Genomic DNA, 11,167 nt, shown 5'->3' with positions numbered 1-11,167 from the left:
CATAAGTCCCATTGCTAGAATTTTAAAACCCAAATTAAATTATTAGAACATCACAGCAAAATCCTGTTGTTGTATATTTTGAAAGGAAAAACAACAGAAATAGAAAAAGCAACCAGGAAGAGTGCTGTTAATTTCCTGAATATATATTAAATATTAATTTACTTAGATTCCCACTTTGAAAAACAAAGTAATGTTAGCCTACAGTTATAGCACTAAAATTATCTGTAAACATTTAAGAAAGTTTTTACTTTTGCCCCTTCAGCTTTGAGAAAACACATTATCAGCTATCTAAATGCAGACGATGTTGTATCACCAACATAAAAAGCAACACTCTGCCATTGGCATTTAGAGTTCTGACCTAGGTTATGGGCTTATAACACCATCTCCTTCCAGGAAGATTGGCTACATGCCACCAAGTATTTAGATACATATTACAAAAACAGGCTATCTGTACATCTCTCCCTGGAACTCTGCTCACTTGTGAACAACAGCCATATCTGGAGATATGGCATAATGTCAACAAAATATGCAAATACATGAATAAATGATTCCTTCTTTATCTGGCTATTTGGTGTTATTTATCACAGGCCATTGTAGCATGAGAAACTCCAAGAAATTCTGTTTGGAATTTCAAAGTTTTCCTAGGTTCAGCTAAGGATGGTGTGGGATTCCCGCTTTGGTTCCATTTTAATGACATTTTTGTGTCTCAAAAGTACTGAAACAGGAAGGTTTTCTGGGAAGGAAAGTATTTGACCAGGAGAATTTGTCTTTTGCTGTCACAATCTTCAGCTACCATTCAGCTAAATGTTGTTTGGAATAATACGGCCTTAATGCCCCTATCTCCTGCTGAATTGCTCAGACGGGTAGGAGATTAGAGTGAAAAGAGGTGCCGGTATTATCTGTGCGAATGCGCCAGGGGTCACGCTACACTAACAGGGCCGCCCCAGTCAGGGTGACAGAACCCAGCTGCTGGCTCCAGGCTCCATCGTCAGAAGGTTCCACTTACTGCAGAACTCTGTCTCCAGAGAGCGTGGATTCTAACTAGTTTTTTTCCACCTCTAAAAAAGTGGCTAGCTCATCATTATTGTCCTCATTTTTTAGGAAGGAACCACATGTGAAACCACTTACCTGTTTAACCCTATGAACTTGAAGAGAACATGTAATGCCACTTAAAATACCTAAGCTCGGGTTCTGCCTTCAGCGACTCCTGGTAGTAGTGCCCTTATGAGCCATTTATCAAGAAGGTAAGGTATTTGATTTTTTAAAAAATGTACACACATTCTCCACCATCAGATTTGATGTGACTGCATTCTACAAATTGTTTAGTTCTTTTTTATTTATCCTGGAAAAAAAGTCACATTCTCTGCACACGGATCATTGTGCACTTGCATTTTAACCTCCAAGAATCTTCTTGGTACTTTTTTTAATGTTTAAGGAAAATAGTTCCCATTTTTCCTCTGAACACTGCTTATTCATGGTAATCCTTTTTCTTTGTAAGATGGGAAGAAAATTCCCAGTCTTGTCTGGCTTAGGGCTAATTGTGGAAGCAGCTCTCGTTTGTTTTCTTGTTTGTTTCTGGGGGTGACATTCTTTGGGTCAAGGAACTCAGAATCTGGGATGCTGACTTTGCCAGTAGAGGGAGATAGAGCTATCTAACAGCTTTACAGGGCACAACCTAAGGCCAGACTAATTGTTTTGCATGAAGTTGTTTCTTAATGCTCTATCGATAATAAAAATTTTTTACATTGTTTTTCCTATAAAAGTGAAGAAGTAAATGAAACCATCCAGACCCTTCGAGGAGAACAAGTCAGGAGAAGCTTACTGGTTTACAAAGTAGTCTTGAAAAGTGAGTCCTTTTTGAAGGACAATTTTTAAAATTATGTTTATTAGACAACCATAATTTAAAAACATTATTAAAACAAAATTACATTTACACAGGGCCAAAAAGGGTGGGGAAAAATTCATCCTGGAGCTAAAAGCCCAAGGGAGCCCTCGGATTTGATTACTTATTACATGATAGGTATTTAAATGGTCTTGCTGTGTTACCGCATGGCATAGATTCTTCTCATCAGTGAATGCACTTGCACTGGGGAAGAAAACGCCTATGAAAGCATTTTTGGTGACCTATTTTTTCATTTATCAGCATTTGCAATTATAGTTAAGTGCTTCCAAAACAGGGTTTCCATCTAAGAAAGGTCCTGCTTTTATGTGATGCTTTTAACTTTTCAAAGTATTTTTATATGTACTATCTCATTTTAAAGTAGATCTGACACAACCCCAATCTATTAAGGAAGTGACCCTTTAAACCTAAAACACTCTGGCATTTTCTGAGCTAGACTTATCTTAGCTACCATTATAAAACTTAATGAAAGTAATGGTGATACTAAAACTTCCATATTCAGAACAAAATTTATCTAGGTAGAAGATTTGCAAGGAGCCATTCAGTTATTCTTTTAACATCCAGGGAGCTTTTACATTTTTATTTCAATCAGTTGAAGTTATCTGTTGTTTGCGTTAAAAGTAATACTGTCAAGAATTTTATTATGGCCACCACTGTGGCCGATAAACTGAAAATTTTGTAGAAAAAGGTTTTGTGAGTGTGTCCAGACTCATCCATAAAATAACAGGAAGTTTGAGTTGTCCATTTTTAAAGGTATTTTTTAGAATATGATACATTTTATCCTCTTGAAGAATTGCACCATGCCCTTTTTGAAGCATGTGCTCCCTCCATGGTATCTTAAGAAACACTGGATATTCCAACACTGTTTTTGATTGTCTAAATTTCTGTAGCTAGGAAACTGGGATGTCTAATCTGGTTCTTGTCCATCTTCTGGAATAACAAGGCCATTTTGTTACAGGCCAGCAGAGATATTGACTCTGTCAAAGTTGTTGATTCAATTCTGAATAACCATCCGAATGTGTATGGCTGAGTGGTTGTGCATTGAGTAGCGCTGAAAAATGAGGATGCTGGGTACAAGCAGTAAAAATCAATTGCTTCAGCTGGGCTAAAATTTCCTGGGGAAATGTTTTTCCCCAAGCTTGAGCCAAGTCTGAGATAAAAAAGCACTATTCTCATGTCCCGAAACTAAATTAGCAGAGAATCTGGGCTGGTTCCTTGATATTTCCAAACTCTGTCATTTTCTCTATGATTTGCTTAATTTTTCTAAGTTCGCTGCGCTTATAAATTCTATACAAAAAATTATTAATGGGGCTATGTGTAGTTAACATGCACAGAAATACATGTTCTTTTTTTTTCTAATTTAGGCAGGACACTGGAGCAGTTAATTTTGATTTAGTAATGTTTCCCATGCACTTTTATCATAGTGTAAGAGAGGGAATTATTTTGAAAGAAATTGCTTTTTACTTTTAAAATTTATGACATTCTTTGTTGGTTGAACTTGAGGAAATAATAGATTAATGGAGAAAAGTTACCATGTAAGTAACCACCCATTTCAGGAAAAAAATACTGATTTTATGTTTAAACAATTTTTTTTAATTGTACCTTAGTGCCAACATTGAAGTATTTTTAAATTTCATTTTATTATAATTGTAATTAATAAAGCCTGCAACAATCATATGTTTCTGTAGGTACTTATAGGGCTTTTATGAAGATTTAATGCAATAACTTATATGAAAATACTTAACTACATACAGAAAGTTTCTAGTTACTATTACTGTAGTTATTTTACTAAATATATTCAAGGCATCTTTGAGGTTCAACACAACCTTAGGGTTAGAATCTGAAACATAAAACAGAAAAAGACTGTTTTATCCAAAGGACCCAGATGAACTTCTTGAAATTAGTAAATCCCATGATATTCCTATTTTAATAAATGTTGTAAACTTAAGAATAAATATATGCGACCACTTTCAGATATGGCATTGTCTTTTTCACATCTTTCAGCTTCCAAATACCTCTGAAGTGCATATTTATGCTTTACTTAGCTGAGAAAACTGAGGCCGAAAGAGAGGAAGCTAATCGTTAAATTTCATAAATAGGTTAGTCTCAAAATGGCAATTAAATTTAAATCTTCCAATTTCAAGTCTGAGATTTCTTCCATAGCTCATTCATAGTTCCTGGTCTTATAGCTTCACATTAATTATTATTATCAGATTGTTTCCTTAATTTCCAGATATCTATACCAAGGTTGTGCTTTAAATGGAAAATCAGATGGCTGAGGTTTACTGACACATTTATTCTCTCTATAATTTCCTTAAATGTATTTATTGAGCAACTACTATGGGGTCAGATGCTATATAAGATGCTAAGAACAAAACAGGCAAAAACATCTGCTATCTTGGAGTGAACCTTCTGGGGTTGGGGAGTAAACTGGCGGTGGCAGGGGAGAAGAAACAAGACAAATAAGTAAAATATACAGTATGACAGAAGGAGCCAAGGAGAAAAATAAAACAGGCAAAGGAGCTAGAGTCTCAAGTGATGGAAGAGCTGCAGTTTTAAATAGGGTGTCCAGGCAAGGCCTTGCCAGGAAGGAGCCATTTGAATCAGGACCTGAAGCTGAGGAGTGAGCCTGGGGGAGAGCTGGAAGAAGAGGATGTTAGATTGCATGGCTGTGAGTTCCGGGAGGAAGAAGCATAACAGGACATGTTGGAACCAACAAGCAGCCCCTGGTATGAGTAGAAGTTCAGGTCAAGAAGTAGCAGAGGCTAGACCATGAGCTCTTACTCATAATGAGATGAGAAGTTATTGCAGGACTAAGGGCAGAAAAAATGTCTTGGTCAGATGTGTTTTAACATCATCACAGGCAGTTGTGAATACATTTAGGGAAGCAAGAACAGAAGCAGAAACGCCAGTTAGGAGGATATTGCAATGGTGAACAATTGGGGCTTCTAGTAGTGTGATGATGGGGGTGATGAGGTGATAAGTAATTAGAGACTAGATATATTTTGGAAATACAAACCTGTGACAGAGATCATAGGCTGTCTTCCATAATCTGTTCACCCCTTCCTCTTGGTCATATGGGTGCCCAGCTAGAGACTACATTTCCAAGCGTCCTTTGTAGCAAAGATTGTCCATATGACTAGGTTCTCACCAGTGAGATGTAAGTAGAAGAGATGTGTGCAGACTCCAAGCTATCTTCCTAATGATAATTGCCCTGCATTTGCTTCTCCTTTTTCCTTCTTTCTTTCTAGAAACCAGGGCACTTGGAATGTTTTGAGGGAGGCAGATCTGTCCCCGTCATGGAGCACTGACTACCATCTTCCCTGAACTCTTACGTGAGGAAGAACAAACCTCTAAGGTTGTTAGCCTCTATTTTGTGATCTCCTTATTAGAGCAACTGAGCCTATACCCTAACAAATAGACATTCATAAGATTTGCTGATGGATCAGATGTGGATGGGAGACAAAAAGAAGAGTTAAGGATGGTTCTAAGGCTTTTGGCCTGAGCAAAATGTGTCATTTACTAAGATGTAGAAGACTATGGGAAGAACATATTTGGCAAGAAGATCAAGAATACAATCTTGGGCATGGCACACTGGAGATGTCTAGTTGACATATCTTTTAAAAATAATTTTTCATTAGCCAAACTAGTACTTGCTTTAAAAAAAAACCCACTAAGATCTCTAGGTGCACTAAGCATTGCACAAAACTAAAAGGAGATACTCTCCTATTTTCTAGTGGTTCACAATTTAATGTAAATCCTACAATGGGCTGAATGTCAGATCAAAATTATACCCCATATTTAGAAATTTCTGTAGAGGAACCCATTCAAGGTTTAATTGAAATGCCATTATTACTTAAGCTACTTTATACAAATTATTCTGCTAGAATACCTTTATAATTGTAAAGATCTCAAAATATAGTTATTTACTATATACAAATATTATAACCCATCTCTTCTTTATGCACAAGCCAATTTTATGTGAACGTACGATTGTACCTTTTAAAACTGAGCAGAGAGGGTTTTATTGAAAATCATTTTGCATAGCTTCAATCTAGTCCAAAGGAGTGATGTTGCTCTTAGCTACTTTTCCCATTGTTGTCTTCTCTATAATCCACTCTGCCCAATTAATAACAAGGTCAAGGCCAGAAATTAAGAGGCAATATAGGGACAGTGAAGGAAAATGTTTCTGATCACTAGAGGATCACTTACTTTATGCATTTATCTATCTTCTTCATGTACATTCTTTGCATTCCATCTCTGCACAGAGTTCTCTTAAAGTCCAAGACTGACACCCAAGGCCTATACATTCGTCCGACAGATCTTGTTTGGGGCCTGTCTCGGGGACCTGTGAATGCCAACTTCTTTTTCTATCACTTTCTCAGATCACTTAGGTCACATGCTCCATCACCTCAATACCATCTTTTCTGTTACTTCCAACATTATACAATTTGAGAAACTATTCTCCAAACAGAAGAAGGCTAGAATACCAACCCTAGTCTCCTCCTGCACTTAGTCTGGACATTTTAATAGTGACATTGTACAGACTTCACAATATGGATCATTAGCAGTGAGTGTAGGAATTTCAGAGAAGAAGTTAATAACACATACTTTAGAAATCAATTGCTACTTTTGCACAAAAAAGATGACAATATAGCATACTGGTTAAGAGGGTTCTCTGGACTCAGAAAAACCTAGGTTTTGAACACTTCCCCTTACTACAGTGGGATATTGGCATGTTTCACTTAACTTCCTTAAGCTTCGGTTTCCTCATCTTTTAGACAGGAAAAATACTGAGGTTTATGCACAATATGTAAGATTCAAAAGATTTTCTTGAATATGGATGGCACAACATCTGCTAATCACTTAGCACACCGCCTTGTACGTAGCAAACAAAACTAGGCTCCAAATTAAGCTATATGATTAAAAATAAAAATCATTTTTACATGTGTTATTTCACCTTTTAATCTCACCATAAATTTTATGTATGAGAGAAGATATCATTTCCATTTAGCTGCTAAGGAAATGGACATCAAGAGAATGTTGAATGATTTGCATGAAGAAACCAGTGTTAAATGGAGATTTAAGCTAAATGGAGTTCAAGTTCATCCCATTTCATCAACGCCAACTGGTAGAGGGATGTTATCCTATGGTGTCCCCCAAAACACAGTTAGCAGATAGAAGCCAATTCATCTTATCCTTCAAGCAATCTTTTATCACATGAATTTTTTCAGGTTATGTATTTCCTTGGTGGGATTGAAAACTTTTTAGGGACAAGGACCACATAATCTAGCTTTGCATTATTTTGTAATCTTTAAAGCGGGATTAGACATAGCCAATTCTTGGTAAATATATGTTGGCTGAATATTTGTCAAATGACTATTAAATCTGTAAATACTTTTCCTGAGCTGATGCTTAACTTCCGTTTTTTTAAAAAATTTCTCCTAATGAGCTGAATGGGAAAAAAAGAAATACTTTATGAAATCAGTCAATACACAAAGTAACATATTTTTTTCCTATGTACACAGCATTTAGGGGAAAACCTAAAATAACTGCTAAAATAAAATTAAATGAGCTTGAGACTATGGTCAACCCAGTTAATGTTATTTACCCAGGGTGACTATTGGAAACTGAGAGCCCTACAGTATATTCCAGCAACACCCAATTCACCTTTTGAACTATTTTAATGTTCAACTTTCCATTGGCACTATTCTTCCTTGGCTAGTGAATTTTTACAGAATGTAATCTCCATTGCATCGTGGGTACTTTTTTCCTGTGCCTTGATGCAGAGGGGTGTTTAATTGTGTTATGGGCTGGGAACAAAATTGTTTTGGATCAGAAATCTGCATGGTCTGGAAGCATGGTACGATTAAACTCAAGTTTAGCCAGGCAGAAGGTTCTCCTTAGGAAGAATTTAATGGGCTCTGCATAATGGTTTTCAATGAAAAGAACACAGTGCCAGCATTCCACTCTGTTCTTTCCATAGCCCATTCAGCTGCCTCATAGGATTTGTTGTTGTTGTTGTTAACACAAGGAGATAAATTTATTTCCCACGGGGAGCTCTTGGTATGTTTCTCTTTCTCCAATCTAGCTTGTTGAACTCAGTGACACTGTCAGAAACATTTTATATCCATTTGTCTAACGACCTTAAAGATATAAAATGTTGCTATTTTCTGTGAACTGGCATTGCCATTTGGCCATACATATGCATTAATGAAAAAGTATATTATACTTAACAATTCTCTGGAAGCTCTTCCTTCCTTCCTTCCTTCCTTCCTTCCTTCCTTCCTTCCTTCCTTCCTTCCTTCTTTCTCTTTCTCTTTCCTTCTCTTTCTTTCTCTCTCTCTTTCTCTCTTTCTTTCTTTCTTTCTTTCTTTCTTTCTTTCCTTCTTTCTTTCTTTCCTTTCTTTCTTCCTTTGATGGAGTTTGTCTCTTGAGCCACCACACCCAGCCTCTTTCTTTATTATTACTATACAGTTTACACAGGTTAGCAGAAATAGTGTATTCTGAGAGAGCAGGAAATACCAAATCTGAGCAAATTTTAAAAAATAAGCTTCACATTTTAGCAGATATTATACTAGAAGGAAAAATCTTGGTGTAAAATAACAGATTGTAAAACTATTATAATAAAATGAGAAACCAGAATTCAAAAGTGAGGTCTATAGACTGTTGAGTGGGGGAGAAAGATGTGGAATCCATGAAAGCAGCCATGATCCTTTTCTGCTGAATCCTCACATCCCCTGCTTCTCTCCCCTTCTGTTTGCTATCTTCTCTCCAATCCCTGGGTTCCACACCCGTCTTATGCCCAAAAATGATTTGCTAAATGTTGGGAATTGGTCTCACTCCTCTTCACCATTAACATTTCAGGGAATTTGGTTTAAATAGCCCAAACGTTTGACAAGTATAATATAAGTAAAGTAAATCATTCACATTCAGAATTGCTTTGGGTGGTGGGGAGTTATAGTTAACCCTTGAACAATGTGAATCTGAGCTGTCTATGTCCATTTATATGTGGATTTTCTTTTGCCTCTGCCACACTGAAGAAAGCAAGACTAGTCCCTTCTCTTCCTCCTCCACCTCAGCCTTCTCAATGTGAAGATGACAAGGATGAAGACCTTTCTGATGATTCACTTTCACTTAATGAATAGTAAATATATTTTCTCTTCCTTATGATTTTCTTAATAACATTTTCTTTTCTAGCTTATTTTACGGTAAGAATACAGCATATAATGCATGCAACATACAAAATATGTGTTAATCAACTGTTTATATTATCATTGAGGCTTCCAGTCAACAGTAGAGTCCATTTGTGTTGCTATGAATATGTGAGACTGGGTGATTTATACAGAAAAGAAGTTTATCTGGCTCATGGTTTTGCAGGTTGTACAAGAAGCATGGTACCAGCACCTGCTTCTGGTGAGGCCTCAGGCTGCTATGAAGCAGAGTCAGCATGTGCAGAGATCGCTTGGCAAGAGAGGAAACAAGTAGGTGAGGAGAAGTGCCAGGCTCTTTGTAACAACCAGCTCCTGCAGGAACTGAAGAGTGAGAACACTCACCTCCACCCCACTGCGTTAATCTATTAATAAGGCATCCATCCCCATGACCCAAATTAGGCCCCACCTCTAACATTGGAAGTCAAATTTTAGCATGAGATTTAGATGGGTCAAATGTCCAAACTATAGCAGAGAGTCAAAAGTTATATGCAAGGTTTCCTTGCATTGTGTGGGGCCTTGGCTCCCCTAACCCCCTTGTGTTCAAGGGTCAACAGTATTATTACTAAAATGTTTGGGAACACGCTCAGGAAGAGCAGTTTCTTAATGTTTTTTTGTCAATAAGATACTCAACACTACAACAGACCAAACACAAGACTAGGCTGATGTGGGAAGATGTGCAAAATGTATATACAGCATACATGGATGTGTTTGCATGCATGGATGCATATATATACATTTTCTAACTACAAGAAAAAATTTATACAATCCACTACCTGAAATCATGGTGTAGTCAAGATAAGTCATGTGAATAGATCACTAAGAATGTATGCAAAAAAGGAAATATATGTCAACAAATATTTGATGTTTGTATTAAATTCTGAATGTGGTCTGAGGAAACAAAGTATTGAAGCTGGGTGGAACTACTTGGAGGATGTTTTGAATTTTGCAAGTGGAAGTTAAGTTTGGAAGGGTCAGTTCCATATGAGGGAGCCCCATTTAGAAAATAATTAAGAGAGCTACGGATATATTTACATAAGATTTTGTAACTAGCTTATGCTTAGATAGTGTGGACTAGTGTTTTCAAATCTGATTGTACTTCAGAATTATCAGGAGAGGTTTTAAAAAATATATATGCTCAGTTTTTACCCCCCAAAAGTGCTTAACCGGTGGGTCCAGGAAAGTACTAATTTCAATTTTTATAAAGATTTTCCTAGCTATTTCTCATGTGTGGCCTGGCCTGGGAATCACTGGTCTGAGGATACTTTCAGAACTTATCTTTTTTATTGTTCTCCCAGCACTTTTTTAAAAAGTATTTTCACACTGTACCTTGTGTAGATTATTTCTATAGTTTATCTCCTCACTTCTTGTATGTTCCCTAAGGATTGAGTGACTATTTGCAATTATTATATCCTTTAGAGTGCCTAGCAATTTTTACAATAGGTATTTTTAAATTAAGTGGAATTGAATTCCTACCACTATTAATTTTGGTGCATCTTGGTATTCCCTGCTCACTTACCACTCGATCTCGATCCCTGAATTCAGAAGAATGTTCAGTTGTTGAAAAGAGACATCAAATCAAGATGAAGTTAAGAGTAAAGTGAGTTCTCCACACCACTACTTAGAGAACTGATACAGAAGAAATAACAAAGCCTCACTTGAAGATGTTTTAATATCATGATAGTTGATTTATTTCCTTTTCTGAATAAAAACAACAAGGTTCAGTAAATTTGAATCTACCTATGCGAATGGAGTACTTGACAATGTGGGTCTTGGAAAGTGTTAGATATGCGGTTACCAAGCTCAAATCACATGAAGGCAAGTTCTTTCTCTCATGTACACACGCATGCAGAGAGAAAGTCTAAGTCTCAACGATTTTCTGAAATATAATTAGTACAACCTTCCTTGAATAACAGTTAAAAATCTGTTACTATTTTATGACACAAACATTCTGTAGCCAAAAGCATTTTGATAATTTTTTATTATCTTCACAAGTCATCTAAATGTAGGAAAGTAATATTATAATTTCAAAATTATTGACAAAATGTTTTCATTT

The 11,167-nt window shown here is 36.4% G+C and overlaps 1 long non-coding RNA gene across 3 annotated transcripts in view; it reads left to right on the top strand.

The window, feature by feature from the left end:
- The first annotated feature begins 984 nt into the window (after positions 1-984).
- LOC105377543 (uncharacterized) overlaps positions 985-11,167 on the top strand; it is a 66,783-nt gene continuing 56,600 nt past the window's right edge. For 2 of the 3 annotated variants that reach the window (NR_188467.1, NR_188468.1), the window contains exon 1: positions 985-1,244. This is a non-coding gene — a long non-coding RNA (uncharacterized LOC105377543). Of the gene's footprint in view, positions 1,245-8,943; positions 9,048-11,167 lie in introns of all 3 variants that reach the window. The other variant, NR_188466.1, reaches the window with a different exon arrangement.

This window comes from Homo sapiens, chromosome 4 (genome assembly GCF_000001405.40).
Source record: "Homo sapiens chromosome 4, GRCh38.p14 Primary Assembly".
Taxonomy (NCBI): domain Eukaryota; kingdom Metazoa; phylum Chordata; class Mammalia; order Primates; family Hominidae; genus Homo; species Homo sapiens.
Note: the sequence above shows the minus strand (reverse complement) of the source record. Positions and strands in the feature narration are given on the sequence as shown.